The 18,433-nt window shown below is 39.9% G+C and overlaps 1 protein-coding gene across 8 annotated transcripts in view; it reads left to right on the top strand.

Moving 5' to 3' along the window:
• The window catches only part of VTI1A (vesicle transport through interaction with t-SNAREs 1A), a 408,381-nt gene that overhangs the window by 132,540 nt on the left and 257,408 nt on the right, over positions 1-18,433 (top strand). The window lies entirely within an intron of this gene.

Below are 18,433 nucleotides of genomic sequence, written 5' to 3' on the forward strand. Positions count from 1 at the left end.
ATTGTCTTTTAAAATAAAAACTAAAAAAAGGTATATCTTACAATAGATGCTGACTAAGGTTAGATTGAACAAAGTTTCCAAATAAAAAAGTGTCAGTTCATGTTCCACTTAAAGTCATCTCATAAATGCTACTTTTCAGAAACACATTTAAAATACGGGAATAAATAAGATCACCCAGAGAATACTAATAGAGAAGAAAAGAGCCTTAGAACCCTAAGGAAAGTGCATTTCACAGGAGAAAAGAGAAAGTGGGAGAAAGTAAGTGAAGAGAATTTGCAGATAACTCTGGGAAGTGCAGCATCATGGAAGCTAAAGAAAGAGATTTTTCAAGAAAGAGAAGTAACTTAGAATAATTAAATACTATAGAAGACCCAGAGAGTATTCAAACAGGTAGGAAGTGGTGGCTTTTAGGAACAGAAAAGTTTGAGTAGTGGAAAAGTTGATCCTAGAATTTTCTTTTTAAGAAAAAGTGACTGGGGAAGAAAAAAAGGTGGTTTTGATGAGGATTAGAATTATTATTTTTTTTCTTACGTTCAGGCTAGAGATCCCTGATCATGTGTTGGGGCCTAGAGGTGGAAACTGGTAAAGGGGTAGTGATGCCAGCATGAAGGAACCTCATTGATCATTTCAGGACCTGGAAGATGTACAAAGGGATGGAATCAACAGCAGAAGTTGAAGATGTAACCTCAGAAAGGAGAAACACTTCCTCTGAAGCAGGGGTGAAAGAAGCAGAAGATAGATTTTGAATAATGTATAAATATAGAAGAGAGAACTTCTGGAGAATCACCATGATTCCAAATAGGAAGCCAAGTTACTCCCTGAAGGTGAAAGGCAAGGTCAAGAACTTAGAAAGAAGATGGGAAAGGCTGAGAACAGTTGTGGTGGGGAATGTCAAGGTGACTCAGCAGGAGCGGGATTGGAAATTGCTGAACCATCGCAAAGGCCCAGCTGAGGTTAGGAAGCATTAATGTGTATTGGGCTCAATAACATGGTTTCACAGTTCTCCCCAGGATTGCTTGGCAGACCAAGAATGGAAGCCAAGAAAGTGAACAGTGGAAAGTTGATGCCTTTTGAGAACTAGCAGACTAGGAGTGACAGGAGAACAAAGAGGGAGTGACTGTAGGGTAGTAGGGAGTGCAAAGTTGAAATGGCTAACTGTGGGAGGCAGGCCAGATGGGGAGGCAGTGAAAGGCCAAATCAGGGTGACAGATAGGAGGAAAAGGGGGGCATCAGGTGATTGACATTTCACAGTGTGCATAGAGAACCAAGAAGGGAAAGAAGGAATGTGGGAGTCTGGTTGACTAAATGGAGATTTTGAGAATTTCAAGATTTTGAATATAGAATATTTAGGAATAACTACGTACTGGAATTACGAATGTACATGTCTTCTTAGAGGGCAGTGTATATAGCCTGATAGTCCATAGCAATAGATTTGGATCTGAACCCAAGACCTACTAGCATTTATACACCATATGATCATGCTAAATATAAGTTTGCATTTCCCACATGCACCCTGCATAGTTCCTAGGAAGATCAACTCTATGGATCACACCAGTGGGCTCCGCATGCCTTCTGGGTTCCAGTTAGGTCACCCCGTGGGAGCTCTGGCAGAAGATGGAACACAGGGAGGAGAGTGTAGTCCAGGTATGAATTCACTTGGTTCTCTTCCTCTGGGATTGCAGTGGGCTGGCTGCATCATTCTCTCTGCATAGCCCTTTCTTTCAGAGTCCTGATAACTCCTCCCTCCCTTCCCATATTCAAGCCTAGGGGTGATAACTTGTCCACTGTTACTTGCCCCAGGTTAGTGTGCCAGGCCTTGTGGTTTCCCACGCCTTTTAAATTATCTCTGTTACAAGGTCTGCTTAAATTACCAATTTGAGTATGTGGTCTGATTTTTATTGGGACTCATAAAAATCACCTTGTGTAAGTTACTTAGGCTTTCAGCCTCACTTTTCTAATCTGCAAGATTGAGATAACAGAAGTACCTACCTTGTGGGTTTGGTAGACAAATTAGATGTGATAATGTGAAATCCTTATACAATGCAAGGTATATATTAATAGTAAGCTCTTGATAAATTATGATGATGATGATTGATTATGATGATGATGATGCAGATATAGACACTGGAATTTCCATTTATGTTTATAGAGATCTATAGATCAGCGACAGCATTCCTGTTAGCAAATAGCACTTCCTGATGCGTCTTCATCAATGGCAGAATTTAAGGGGCAAATTGAAGAGGGAGGACACTAGCCACCTCCATAATCTCTATTAGCACCTCCCCTGAAAGGCACTTTAGGTTGATAGTATCACAACCTAATATGTGGAAAGAAGAAACTTAATAGGCAAAATGCTCTAAACTACAATTGGAATATCTTTACTATAACATCTAAGTAAAAATAACATGTTTGATGTGCAAATGCAACTTCACGGCAATATCTCTGACTTACCTCCTTGACACACCTTTCTGTCTTGATGCTAATTTCTGTCTTAGTCAGCTCAGGCTACCATAACAGAATACCACAGGCTGGGTGGCTTAAACAACAGAAATTTATTTCTCCAGTTCTAGAGGCTGGAAGTCTGAGATCAGGGTGCCAGCATGGTGGAATTCTGGTGAGGACTCTCTTCCTGGCTTGCAGATGGCTGTCTTCTTGCTCTGTCGTGGAGTTAGAAAGAGAGAGAAGGACACTCTCTCCTGTCTCTTCTTATGCGGGCACTAATCCATCATGCAGACCTCGATCCCATGACCTCATGACCTCCCCAGTGTGCATTCTCCAGATATATTACATTGGGGATTAGGGTTTCAATCTATGAATTTTAGTGGGCAAAGACATTCAATCCATAGAATTCACCTCTTGTTCCCCCAAATATATGTTCTCCTCACATGCCAAGTACATTCCTTCCACCCCAGCAGCCCCCAAGGTCGCTGTTAAGTATGGAAATTGTGGAACCATCTCTGGTCATCTTGCTTGTGAGCCCTTCTCCAGATCTCATGGTGACATAGCTAGTGGAAACCTTTGAGGGCATGGCTGTGCCTTTTAGGTGGTAGAAAAGTAGTGATTTTAAAGACTTGTGGTCCAAGAATGACTTTGGTAGAGAGGAAACTCCAAAACGCTTACCTTGTTAAATTTGTTATGACCTAACAAGGCAATACTTAAACTTGAAGTGTTCTAAATTATTAATCTATAATAGTGATGCCATCTTATACTTGATTAGTGCCTTTTAACTTAAACGTGTTTTTAGTCACTTTTTTAACGTATAAATATTATTATATTGTAAATATAACTCCTCTGTGAGGTCAGCCACCTGGAGACCACCACTGTGCACCAGCTTTGAAGAACACCAGTAAGTATCTCTTGGCTGTAAAAAACCTCCAAGAAAATAAGACCCTCTAAATCTCCATCAGTGACCTGCCCAGCTTTACCACTGACCATGATGCCCAGGAAGGGAGGCACGTTTGCTGATACATGTATTCAATACTAGAGCAGTTCTGTAAACTCTTCCCAAATCGTTTAAGTGGTTTCATGTTTCATGTCTTATATGCATGTGGGCATCTTATAGAGATAAAGAAAGGAAAGGGGAGCGATAAAAGGATAAGCGATGATCAAGAGCAGAGTTCTTGGAGCTCAACTCGTACTTTCATGATTCTCTTGTGCCTTCTGGCCCTGGGTGCTGATAATAACAGCAGAGGATTTGTATGGCTTTACTCACCTAGACACCATATGTAGTTTTAAGCCCGGATAACAACTTCGGTTTGGTAATGTCTTCTTTTTCATTTTCTCAGGTCCCTAAGTTTGATTTTAGAAAACCCTCAAATCTGAAGGCCATTTCTCTGTTGGATATGTTTGTGTGTATATCCGCTTTATCAGGAATGCGGTTGCATTCAGGTCTGTTGTCCTAAGCGCCTTTGTTTGTGGCTGCATTCCATGCAGTTCCGTCTTTCAGTCCTATGTATTTACTAACTATTCAAATGCCTTGTGGTATTCACACACAGATTATGTAAAATAAAAAAATACATTATTAAGGCTGTGGGTGCTGTGAATGGATTATTACAATTTGCCTATCATGGTAATGGCACCTGTTAGAGGTGTGATACAAAAGGCAGTGACAGGCAGTGTAATTTAGTAATTGTGGCCATTGTACTGTATGGCTGGTCAGTTCACCAGGCAAGTACAAAGGAAGCAGTGTTATAGCAGAGCAGGGGTGGGTACGCTTAATAGAGAGAGCTAGTTGTGTACTGAAAGAGACTTTTGGTGGAAGGCTAACTCCCAGGGGGCAACTTAGAATGAGTTGAAAAGAATGAACAAAAGTACAAAAATGGTACAGGTTTTCCTATTTCAGCTCTTAAAGTGACAGACGAGTTACGTTGGTGCACATTGCCAGCACTTTCTCTTACTGCCAAAACAGCTTTTTTCTCCCAGAATACCCAAAGTTGCCTTGTCATATGGCAGTCACATATAATGTTCTCTTTTCTTCTCCTGTATGTAAAACACATTGTGTCAAAGTTCAGATCTAATTGGCATAGGGGCAAATGCACTGTATTCAAGAAAACCATTTGTTTAGCATCTACAATAGTATTTAAAGAGCACATAAGTAAACAGATTCAGAAGGGATATAGATTTATGTATCCTTTTTCATTAATTCCCCTCCTCTCCGTAGTATTATTATGGTAGTATTTTGGGTGGTTTTGCTACTAGTCTGGACATTCTAGCATCCTGCAAGTCATTGTAATTAAGGCAGAACTTTGACATCAGAATAGATAACAGAAATTAACAGTCAGAATTTATGGTACATATTTTCTCCTTGCCTTCTTGTGAACTCTGGAAGTCAAGCCATTTTTCAGGGCACTACTGAGAAATACTTCAGAGGAGGAATGAGTAAGAGCACAACGAAAAGGATCAAGCATGCCAAGATGACTTTTGTATCACAAAGTAATATATTGTGGGTTCACTTCTGGAGAGAAGATGAGCTGACTACTGGGCATCGCTCGCCTGTCAGGTATGCTTCCAACATACAGGCATGCGCCATTGGAAGCAGCAGCTTCCTCCACAGCTGACTTGCTTGCCTTAGTTTTCTGACCCAATTCAAATTGTGACCGACAACAAACTAAGCTTCTCAGATCAGACATTGACTGCGTCTTATGGACCAGCTACTGTACTAGACTCTTGATAAGCATTTCCTCCTTTAATCTTTGCACCAACCCGTGGAGTATAGATAGAATTATTGTCCCCATTCAACAGAGAAGGAAATGTAGGCGCAGGAGGTTCCATAGCCTCCTTACATGCAGTGAGTTGGGATAGCATATTCACATTCTCTCTATGGAGAGAGATAGTGAGGGGCAGGTACCAAAATAGTACATTTAAATCTGTAGTCTTTTGAAGTAAAATAACCATGATGTATTTAGAATGTTATTTGACAGGCTTTTGAAAACAGAATTGTGAAAATTAGTCAGAAGACTCTGGAATCTTAACATGGAGTAGTATCTGCATTTTGTTGCAGAAGTCATTTTAATAACAAGGATTACACAAACTAGCTTCTTTAATTGAGGGTGGATCAACTTATGTAGAATATATAATGCTACTGGGAACCATCCCAGTTTTAATAAAGGGCCACACAGAAGAAAATGTATGCTACAAAATGTCGATTCACATCTCCTAACTTGTGTAAACAGTGTCGCAGACAGTACGAGACATGAATGGGCGAGGTGCACCACTGTTATGAATCACTCCAGCAGGGCTTTGGCCATCAGCCTGATGAAACAGGCATGCCACTTAGGATGCCAACTGAATAGATTCAGTTGTGTGATATTTAAAACATGATTTTGTACTTTTTGCTGCTCAGAACAGCTATTACAGCTTGTTACTTTTTTTTTGCACCAGTTTTGACATCTGAACATTCTTAACTGAAAAAGAATGTCATTTTCATGAAAGAACTTTCTGTACAATAAAGTTAGCATTTAGAGTCATCCTAACATATGCAATGATTTGCCAAGCTTGAATATTCTTATAGGCATAAGTTTCCTTTTCTACTTCCCAGAAATCATTCCAAAGTTTGCAGAGAAGGCACAGGGAAAGATATGGGAGTTTATTTCTGGCATCAAGTGGTACAGAGAAACAACAAAAGATTGTGGATTTCTTTTTTTTTTTTTTTTTTTTGGTTGTGTCACATACACCCTCGCCGCCTCTTTGCACCATGTCGGTAACTTTGGAAAGAATTAGCATATTGACATAGAGTACATAAACAGTATTCCAAAACTGTAATATAGCATTCTAGCATAAAAAGTGTTGGGTGTTTCGGACAGACAGAAGCTGAATCAGAAATCAACATTATCTAGCCTTAAAGATTGCAGTTACTTCTGATAAAACCACTTGGGCTTCCTCAGAGGTCAAGGATGTGCCTGCAAACCCATGTGCTCATCAGACTGTTGGAGTCAAGTCCTCTGTTTGTATACAGTGTATAAATGGTAATATGGGTAAACACTGCCCTCTCAAACCACATAATTACGTCGATTGCTGAAAAAACCCAGAAATGTACCAAAATATCACAGGGAAGCTATTTCTAACACGACTTTGCTCTTTATGGCTAAGTGGCATAAAGAGTGGCTTTTTTTTTTTCCTTCTAAATTATGTGTTCTTGTTTCAAGCATTGAGATGATGCAAAACAGATTTTTGTGGCAACATTCTTTTTCGCAGCCAAAAAAGCATTCAAGGAAGCTCTGTACTCCTCCTTGGTTGCTATTTATTCTGGACCTTTTGTATTATCCGTGTAAACTCATTTCATTTTAAAATAAGAACTAACCTTCTTTGGGTTGTTTTTCAGCACTGCTAATAGTGCCAATAAAATAGCTAATTATGGTGCGAAGTGGGCGTTTTTAAATGATTCGTTAAAACTGAGAAGGAATAAGTGAACATTACAGGTGCAAAAGAGAACCTTTTTCCTTAGTTTTCCTGCAATCCTCTGTATAAAGCCTATTTTCAACAGAGACCCACTAGTTTTTCAACTGGATAAAATAAAGGATAATTTTGACATTGCATGTGACCTGTAATCTCAAAAGCAAGTAATACTTTCTCAGTCTTCCTTATCTCTTTTTGTCCTCTCTTCATCCTTTCCTCTTCTTTCTTTGTTCCTGCTGCCTCTCTGTGTACCCCGCTGCCTCCTCTAGCCGATCTCCTTAGAAACAATTGTGGTTAACAAAGTCGGAAGTCAAAACAGTTACTCTCATAGCCATGGTAAAAAAGACCAAAGTAAACAAATTCAGAATTTCTCATTTCCAACATCTCCATTTTGCACATCCTATTATTATAGCACTTAGTTTTAGGGTAACCACTGGTGATTTAGTCGTCTAAAAATGGCCAGTGGTTTTGAGCAGCAAACATGTTTCATTCTTTCATGGACCTTGAAATTTAAACTCAGAAATTCCACATCCATAAACTTAGCTTGTTCTAGCACTATTCATTTATATATGTAAGTTCACATTTTCATTTGTTTGTCTTTGACTTTCCTAGGCATTGCATTTAGGATCTGAGTAGGGTTTTGTATGTTTCAGTTGGGCCCTGACACTATGTATGGAATATATATTTCTTTTACAGGGATCAACATCTGTTGCTGCAATAATGTTTTAATTAAATAAAATTTGTGGGAAATTATGACTTTTCTGCTTGTGCTACTTCCAAAAACATGCCCAAGGTTTCGTAGCTCTATAAATGTTCTGAGTAAACATTGTTTTCCAAAGATTCATTTCACAAATTTAATACTTGCCATGTACCTACTGTTGCAGTAGTTAGTCACTGTGGAAAACTTCAGAAGTGTATATTGTATGTTCTTGCCCCAAAGAGCTTATAACATAGGAGAAGGAAAGTTAAACAATACCAAATTAAAAGCTGGCATAAAAAAATAAGTCAAACTGTGACTAAGAGAAAGTAATTGGAAAGAATATTAAATTAAAAGGACTCCTTTACATTAATGAAGCAAAAAGGAGAGAAAGATAATAAACTTTGATGAAGACCAAATGGCTATGTTAAACAGAATTTCTAAAATTTGATATCAAAAGGTACCTCTGCAGAAAATGTTGAATATTTACTACTATTTAAGTTGCACTTCTTGGACAACTAAATGTAATGACATTACCTATGCCTGTTCCCATAATTTGAATATTAATTAGCAAATGTACAGATACAATTAGAACTAAGAATTAGACTGGAATTATAAAAATAGATTACAAAAAATTAGTAAGATTTTCATAAAGGTTTTTTCCCCTCAGTATTAGGGGAGAAAATGACTTTTAGACTTCCTTCTTCTCCTCCCTCCCTCCAAATTCCTGGACTGTTTGAAGTGCTTCTGCTGCCTTCTTACATTCTTAATGCAGTACTTTATTCAAGAGAAGTGGTTTTTTTTTTTTACCCTTAACTTATGCTTTGTTGGTTTTAGTAAATTAAGGTTTAAATGCCACTTCTTTCCCATTGAAATGAAATTAAAAACCACTGCTACTCTGATGTCATAAAGGAAAAATGAAGTGGATTAAGATGGCAAAATGTGTAAAGAAAACCTGATGGGGCTTTTAAAGGAGCTTGTGCAGTATCTTCTAACTTGAACTTAGCTTCAATTGTGTGTTCAGCTTCTCTACATTGAGCTTAAGTTTTATGAAAAGAAAAAGGTAGACAGGCAACAGAAATATATAAATGAAAATCTAAGTGGCCTAGAGCAAAAAGCAATAAACTATAGTTTGTTTTTCCAGCTAATCTAAAATAATTGTAATTGGGCCATACCATTATGAAGTTTTTTTTTCTCTTGAAACAATAAATAAATAAAAACTTAAAATGCCTAATTTTTAAAGCAAGGCAGTAACAAAAGTAGTCAATATAATAAATTTCAGAGTATCACTTCACAGTAGTATATTTGTAGGAAGTACTACTTGTTGAATATTTGAAGTCATTCAGTGAAAGACTGAAAATATTATGTTGTAACATGTTTGAAAATTAGGTTTCTCTATTCAGTTCAGAGCTACTGTACATCTTCTTTTGAAATGAATAATAACCCCGTCTTACAAAGTGAGAGCAAAAAGAAGGACGAGGCTATGTTTCACTCCAAATGGTTTAAAGGCAGGCTCTTTCCTGAGTCTTAAAACTGCAAGTAGCAAGTAGTAGGGAACAGTAATGCATGAAAGGTCATTTTTATTGGCCTTGCAAGCCCGTATTCCTCACATAGGCCATCATTGTGTGGGACTTTAATGTATTATAGTAAATGTGTTCAACACTTTCTCTTTCCTGGCAGCATTAACTTCCATGCACGTCATCACTGTGTCATGGCTTTATTTAATCACATTGCTCCTTTACTTCAGGCTTTGTCTAGCTTTCTTACCTCTCCTGACACCTTCACTCACTTGCAGAACACAGTTCCTGGAAGGGATAGAGGTATTTATTTCAGTCAAAAGCATCGGTGTCATTTTCTATCACCACATTCCCTACATATTTCAACACTTTGACTCCTTGTCTTTTTTTTTTTTTTTTTTTTTTAACTTACAGTGAATGTACAAATGTCGAAGATGTTAGCTGGTAAAAGAACTATTTTGTCTTTCTGTGTCAGGGAACTGGTTTGCCTTCATAAAATTAAAACCTCTTTCCCCTTAATACATGGGGGGTGATATGATTTGGCTCTGTGTTCCCCACCCAAATCTCATCTTGAATTGCACTCCCATTATTCCCACGTGTTGTGGGAGGGACCCGAATGGGAGATAATTGAATCATGGGGTCAGTTTCCCTCATACTGTTCTCATGGTAGTGAATTAAGTCGCATGAGATCTGATGATTGGATTAAGGGAAACCCGTTTCACTTGGCTCTCATTCTCTCTCTTGCCACTGCTATGTGAGACGTGCCTTTCACCTTCCACCATGATCGTGGAACTGTAAGTTCCACCCAGCCACATGGAACTGTAAGTCCAGTAAAGCTCTTTCTTTTGTAAATTGCCCAGTCTTGGGTATGTCTTTATCAGCCACGTGAAAACGAACTAATACAGGGGAAAAAAGGAGGGGATATGAATTCTAAAGAATAACATCTGACATAGCTAAAAAATAATAGTAATGATAATAGCTAATTGTTGAGCATGCACTGTGTGTGACACGGTTGCAAGTGCTCTACATGTATTAAGTCTTCTCTGCAACCCTCTGGGGTAGGTATTTTTATTGTCCCCATTTATAGTGAAGAGACCACAGAGAGCTTAGTTGTTTGCTGAAGTAATGCTACTAGAAAATGGTAGAACAGGGATTTAAACCAGCAGTCTGACATCAGAATCTGAGTTCTTGATGAGGAAATTATTACTGCATGCACAAGAATTAAGTCAGAAGAGAGAATATTTTATGTTAAGAAAGCCTGAATTTATTTCATGGGAATTGCAATGTGCATTTCCTTAAAGTTGATGATTTATAGTTTTCTTCCTTTTTATAGATTTAATTTGTATAGGGTTTGAAGGGCCAAACCTTAATGTTAGGGTGCTATTTAAGTGCAGATTTCTCGTTTTCATGACACAATATTTTTGTACTCAGAAGATGAACTCAGTAACTGAACATGGTTTACTCTTCTACCCAGATGTTTTTACCCTGATCTCTATTAGGGATATTTTGAGTCCTAGCTAGGACCTAGAGGTGGAAGTTGGTAGCTACTCAAAAGTTTAGTTGATATTAAGAAAATTTTATTACTCAGAGATGATAATGAAAATGTATACTTAGTGAATCAGAGAATGTTATAAAGAAGAAAGTGGAGTATTGGTTGTATGGATGAATGTATAGATAGATAGATAGACAGACAGACAGACAGATGGGCAGATAGAATATCCTCTCTATATATGTTTGTGTATGTGGGAAAGAGATGTATAAATTTATTTATTGCAGGCTGGGCACAGTGACTTACACTTGCAATCCCAGCAATTTGGGAGGCTGAGGTGGGAGGATCCCTTGAGCCCAGGAGTTCAAGATTAGCCTAGCCAACATGGTGAGACCCCTTCTTAAAATTTTCCAGACATGGTGGCATGCATGCCTATAATCCCAGCTACTCAGGAGGCTGAGGTGGGAGGATTGTTTGAGCCTAGGAGGTCGAGGCTACAGTGAGCTGTGGTCACGCCACTGCACTCCAGCATGGGTGACAGAGCGAGACCCTGTCTAAACAATAATAATATTAATAAAAATAAAATAAATTTATTTATTTCATTAGCCCAGAGATTGGAAACGAGAACAGAAGGTATATGCCCAAGATAATAATTAATGTATAGTGAGATAACCACAACTCAAGAAAGAAATATGGCCAGGCATGGTGGCTCACATCTGTAATCCCAGCACTTTGGAAGGCCAAGGCGGGCAGATTACTTGAGGCCAGGAGTTTGAGACCAGCCTGGCAAACATGGCAAAATCCTGTCTGTACAAAACATACAAAAATTAGCTGGGCATGATGGCACATGCCTATAACCCCAGCTACTCCGGAGGCTTAGGCAAGAGAATCGCTTGAACGCAGGAGGCAGAGGTTGCAGTGAGCCGAGATTGCATCACTGCACTCCAGCCTGGTCAACAGAGCGAGACTCTGTCTCAAAAAAAAGAGAAAGAAAGAAATAGCTTCAGCTACGATATTTCCATTCTGGGCAGCATTGGCAGGAGCTGAGCAAGCAAAGCTCAGGAATTCAGCCTCTCTGTTGGGTACTCAGGTTTATGTTAGAAGAGATACTGTTGACCGGGCGTGGTGGCTCACGCCTGTAATCCCAGCACTTTGAGAGGCCGAGGCAGGCGGATCATGAGGTCAGGAGATCAAGACCATCTTGGCTAACACGGTGAAACCCTGTCTCTACTAACAATACAAAAAATTAGCCGGGTGTGGTGGCAGGTGCCTGTAGTCCCAGCTACTCGGAAGGCTGAAGCAGGAGAATGGCATTAACCCAGGAGGCGGAGCTTGCAGTGAGCAGAGATCGCACCACTGCACTCCAGCCTGGGTGACAGAGTGAGACTCCGTCTCACACACACACACACACACAAAACGAAGAAGAGATACTTTACTTAAACAATTGTGTACTGTTTAATTGTTTTATACTGAAATTTAACTTCTCAAGGTCTTTACCCTTTCCTTATGGCAAGGTAAAATCTGGACATCTCAGGCTGGTGTTCAAGGCCCTTAAGCTCCTTCGCTATATTCCCAACTGTATTATACTGATCATCCTGCAGATTACCTGACTTGGTGGGCAGAAGGGTCCCCTTCCAAATATGTCCATGCCTTAATCCCTGTAATCTGTGAATACTTTACATTACATGCCAAAAGGAAGTTTGCAGATGTAATTAAAGTAACAGACCTGAAGTTAGGAGATTTCCTCAATTAACCAGTGGGCCTAATCCAATCATGTTAGCCCTTTAAAGCAGAAAACTTTCTGTGTTGGAGGCAGAAGAGATTCAGCAGAAAGGGTAGATGCAGAGATTTGAACGTGAGAAGGACCAAATATGTCGTCTCTGGTCTAAAAGTAAAGGGACAATGTGACGTGGAAGGTAGACAGTGTAAGGGGCCAAGAGAGTTCGCTGGCTGACAAGCAGCAGGGAAACCAAGACCCCAGTCCTACAATCACAAGGAACAAGTTCAGCCAGTAACCAGAAGGAGTTTGGAAATGGATACATCCCCACAACCACTGGAAATGAACACAGCCTGGGCAACACCTTGATCTTGGCCTTGTGAGACCCAGAGCAGAGGAAGCAGCAGTGCCCACCAGACTTCTCACCTAAAGAACTGTGAGATCATAAATATGTACTGTTTTAAGCCACCGAGCTTTTGGTCATCTGTTACAGCAACAACAAGAAATGAAGACATGGATCCAAAATGCCCTTCCCCCACCATTGCTAACAGTCATCATCTGTTCATCCTCCAAGGCTTACCTCAAAGGACCTCTCCTCCATAAAGGCTTCTGGGAAAGCCCCAATCAGAAAAATCACTCCTGCATCTGTTGATGCCATTGAGTTTCTGCCTCCGCAATGGTGCATCTTCATTAGACTCCATATCAGTTTACCTATTTGCATTCATCTCTCCCTGACCAAATCACAGCACTTGATCTATCCGTGCTTTGATTTACATCCACATATTATTTGACATAGTACTTTGCACACAGTAGGTGCCCAATTCTATAAATGTTGCATTTGGAATATATGTCATCCTCAGAGAACCTAAAAAAATGGTTAGACAAGGTGCCCATATACATTTACACAATCAGCAAATTATGAGGATATATGGCAAATAAAACTGGATGTTACTCTTAGTTGAATGGATCTTTCAGTCCACAGGAAGAAAGGAAGGTGTTAACCGAGTGAATCCTGTGGATAAACCTACAATTAGACTTGTGTTACGTTCCATGAAGGAAAGTGATATGGTGCTGTGAAGACTATAATCAGGAGCGTTTATTGAATGCAGGACTGTGTGGTGTCTGAAGAAGGAAAGGAACAATTGAGATTATTCAGTTTAAAGGAGAGAATGCAGAGTAATACTTTCAAATAGATACTAAAACTAGATGCAGTCATCTTATACCAAAAGCGAGGATGATCTCCTCTCCCATCTTCCTAAAGAAAGCAGTGAGAAGTGAAATTAAACTGCATTCTGAAAAGTTTAGGTTAGACCAGTAGTTTTCAACCCTCGCTCAACATTAGAATGAGCTTAGGAACTTTTAAAAATGACTGGTGCAGGGGCCCCATGCCAGGCCGATTGAGTCAGAATCTCCAATGGTCGGGTGTAGGCATCAATATTTTTTAAAGCTTCCCAGCTATTTCTGAAGACTGTGAACAACTGCTTTGTGTTTTTGGTGTATTTTCTGAGTTCGTGGTGAAAAGATAGGATTATGAAGTGAAGGCAGTGAAATCCCCTTCCTCAGGGAGGGCTCTGCAAATAGCACAGAAAAAACCTCTTCAGAGCATGTGGGTGTCAGTAGTTCTGACGAAAAGCCAGCTCGAGGTGATTGCCTCTTTTTTCCCATCTCATAACATTCATTGGAATTTTTCTGATTATAAAAATAAGGGGTTCTTTTTCATATGGAAAGTTTAGGGAAAATAGAAAAGCACACAGAAAAAAATCAAAAATTACTCATAATCCCATCAACCACCAACCAGTCTAAACATTTTTTGGTAAATACCAGGCGTCATAGGCTAGCAGGCTGTGTATGTGTGAACTCGTTTATTCAGGATATGTGGTCTCCATCTTTTTTTTATTTTTTTTATTTTTTTTGAGACGGAGTCTTGCTCTGTCACTCAGGCTGGAGTGCAGCGCCACAATCTCGGCTCACTGCAAGCTTCGCCTCCCGGGCTCACGCCATTCTCCTGCCTCAGTCTCCTGAGTAGCTAGGACTACAGGTGCCCGCCACCACGCCCGGCTAATTTTTTTTTTATTATTATTATTTTGAGACGGAGTCTCGCTCTGTCACCCAGGCTGGAGTGCAGTGGCGCTATCTCAGCTCACTGCAAGCTCTGTCTCCCGGGTTCCCGCCATTCTCCTTCCTCAGCCTCCCGAGCAGCTGGGACTACAGGAGCCTGCCACCATGCCCGGCTAATTTTTTTTGTATTTTTAGTAGAGTCGGGGTTTCACTGTGTTAGCCAGGATGGTCTCGATTGCCTGACCTTGTGATCCGCCTCGGCCTCCCAAAGTGCTGGGATTACAGGCGTGAGCCACTGCGCCCGGCCGGTCTCCATCTTTTAAACTTGGTCACTTCACACCGTGCACTTGTTATCATCCTCTAAACATTTGAGCTCATAACCCCGGAAGTTTTAATATGGATCCTTTTTTAAAAGCCTGCTTTAGGAGAAGGAAATAAAGGGTATTCAATTAGGAAAAGAGGAAGTCAAATTGTCACTGTTCACAGACGACATGATTGTATATCTAGAAAACCCCATTGTCTCAGCCCAAAATCTCCTTAAGCTGATAAGCAACTTCAGCAAAGTCTCAGGATACAAAATCAATGTACAAAAATCACAAGCATTCTTATACACCAATAACAGACAAACAGAGCCAAATCATGAGTGAACTCCCATTCACAATTGCTTCAAAGAGAATAAAATACCTAGGAATCCAACTTACAAGGGACGTGAAGGACCTCTTCAAGGAGAACTACAAACCACTGCTCAATGAAATAAAAGAGGATACAAAGAAATGGAAGAACATTCCATGCTCATGGGTAGGAAGAATCAACATCGTGAAAATGGCCATACTGCCCAAGGTAATTTATAGATTCAATGCCATCCCCATCAAGCTACCAATGACTTTCTTCACAGAATTGGAAAAAACTACTTTAAAGTTCATATGGAACCAAAAAAGAACCCGCATCGCCAAGTCAATCCTAAGCCAAAAGAACAAAGCTGGAGGCATCACCCTACCTGACTTCAAACTATACTACAAGGCTACAGTAACCAAACCAGCATGGTACTGGTACCAAAACAGAGATATAGATCAATGGAACAGAACAGAGCCCTCAGAAATAACGCCACATATCTACAACTATCTGATCTTTGACAAACCTGAGAAAAACAAGCAATGGGGAAAGGATTCCCTATTTAATAAATGGTGCTGGGAAAACTGGCTAGCCATATGTAGAAAGCTGAAACTGGGTCCCTTCCTTACACCTTATACAAAAATCAATTCAAGATGGATTAAAGACTTAAACATTAGACCTAAAACCATAAAAACCCTAGAAGAAAACCTAGGCATTACCATTCAGGACATAGGCATGGGCAAGGACTTCATGTCTAAAACACCAAAAGCAATGGCAACAAAAGCCAAAATTGACAAATGGGATCTAATTAAATTAAAGAGCTTCTGCACAGCAAAAGAAACTACCATCAGAGTGAACAGGCAACCTACAAAATGGGAGAAAATTTTCGCAACCTACTCATCTGACAAAGGGCTAATATCCAGAATCTACAATGCACTCAAACAAATTTACAAGAAAAAAAACAAACAACCCCATCAAAAAGTGGGCAAAGGACATGAACGACACTTCTCAAAAGAAGATATTTATGCAGCCAAAAGACACATGAAAAAATGCTCATTATCACTGGCCATCAGAGAAATGCAAATCAAAACCACAATGAGATACCATCTCACACCAGTTAGAATGGCAATCATTAAAAAGTCAGGAAACAACAGGTGCTGGAGAGGATGTGGAGAAATAGGAACACTTTTACACTGTTAGTAGGACTGTAAACTAGTTCAACCATTGTGGAAGTCAGTGTGGCGATTCCTCAGGGATCTAGAACTAGAAATACCATTTGACCCAGCCATCCCATTACTGGGTATATACCCAAAGGACTATAAATCATGCTGCTATAAAGACACATGCACCCGTATGTTTATTGTGGCACTATTCACAATAGGAAAGACTTGGAACCAACCCAAATGTCCAACAATGACAGACTGGATTAAGAAAATGTGGCAGATATACACCATGGAATACTATGCAGCCATAAAAAATGATGGGTTCATGTCCTTTGTAGGGACATGGATGAAATTGGAAATCATCATTCTCAGTAAACTATCGCAAGGACAAAAAACCAAACACTGCATTTTCTCACTCATAGGTGGGAATTGAACAATGAGAACACATGGACACAGGAAGGGGAACATCACACTCTGGGGACTGTTGTGGGGTGGAGTGAGGGGGGAGGGATAGCATTAGGAGATATACCTAATGCTAAATGATGGGTTACTGGGTGCCGCACACCAGCATGGCACATGTATACATATGTAACTAACCTGCATATTGTGCACATGTACCCTAAAACTTAAAATATAATAATAAAAAAGCCTGCTTTTAGAATTTAATATAGTATGAAGACTTTTTTATTTTACCAAATATTCTGCTTTGAAAAACATTAACGGCTGTCTACTGCTTTATCCCATGAGTATACCATAAACTTATTTGATCAGGCCCCTATTATTGGACATTTTGGGGTTTTTAAAACTATTTAACTAATATTGCAGTAGGGATAGTTATTCATAGTTCTTTACATCAAATTCTGGCTATTTCTTAGTGATAAATTTTTAAAAACAAAATTGCTGGGCTGAAAAACATAATATTTTCAAGATTTTTAATGTATTATACCAAATTTTCCTCCAAAACACTACCATAGTTTAATTTTCCTTTCCCTAAACCTTCTCTCACATTGAGCAGAAGGTATGCTTGTACTTTTTATTACATTTCTTTGTCACGAGTAAGGCTGATAATTTCTCTTACATTGCTTAACTGTAATTCTTTTGCTTATTTTTTCATTAAAAGTTAATTTTTTGCTGATGTGTTTATGTTTCTCTTCCTTATTTACATAAGAACTCTTCTAAACCCTTTTGTGTCAAGTTTGTGGTATACTTTTTTCAAATTTGTTGGTAAGCTTTTTCTTCTGTTCTTGAAGTATTGACATGTGAATTTGATACAGTCAAATCTTTCTTTTTAAATTAGTTTTTCGTTTGAATGTATGCTCAGGAAAGCCTTCCATACCATAAGATCAGAAGAAGCTTATTTTTTCTTCTAATGCCAGATGGTTCTGTGTTTTACTTATTAGGTTGGTATCTGCTTCTCATTCTTTGAAGCAAACTTGAACTGGAGGTTTGAGAATCAAACAGATCTGGGGAGAGAGTCCTGACATTTCCACTTACGCTAACCTTTGGGAATTTTTGGAACCTCTTTGGGCTGTGGTTTGTTTTTTGTTTGTTTGTTTTTTTGAGACAGAATTTCACTCTTTTTGCCCAGGCTGGAGTGCAATGATGCGGTCTCGGCTCATCGCCACCTCCGCCTCCTGGGTTCAAGCGATTCTCTTGCCTCAGCCTCCTGAGTAACTGGGATTACAGGCGTGCGTCACCACCCCCTGGCTAATTTTGTATTTTTAGTAGAGACAGGGTTTCTCCATGTTGGTCAGGCTGGTCTCGAACTCCCGACCGCAGGTGATCTGCCTGCCTCAGCCTCCCAAAGAGCTGGGATTACTGGCGTGAGCCACCACACCTGGCCTGGGCTGTGTTTTCTTTGTCCATTCAAAGTAAATTTCAACCAAGCCAGGTACAGTGGTACATGCCTATAGTCCTAGCTATGGCCGAGCCCAAGAGTTTGAGGCTGCAGTGAGCTATGATTGCACCTGTGAATAGCCATTGCACTCCAGCCTGGGCAACATAGTGAGACCTTGTCTCTTTTTTTTTTTTTTTTTTTTTTGAGACGGAGTCTCGCTCTGTCGCCCAGGCTGGAGTGCAGTGGCGCGACCTCGGCTCACTGCAAGCTCCGCCTCCCGGGTTCACGCCATTCTCCTGCCTCAGCCTCCCGAGTAGCCGGGACCACAGGCGCCCGCCACCACGCCCGGCTAATTTTTTGTATTTTTAGTAGAGGCGGGGTTTCACCGCGTTAGCCAGGATGGTCTCGATCTCCTGACCTCATGATCCGCCCGCCTCTGCCTCCCAAAG

Source organism: Homo sapiens, chromosome 10, assembly GCF_000001405.40.
Source record: "Homo sapiens chromosome 10, GRCh38.p14 Primary Assembly".
NCBI classification, from domain to species: domain Eukaryota; kingdom Metazoa; phylum Chordata; class Mammalia; order Primates; family Hominidae; genus Homo; species Homo sapiens.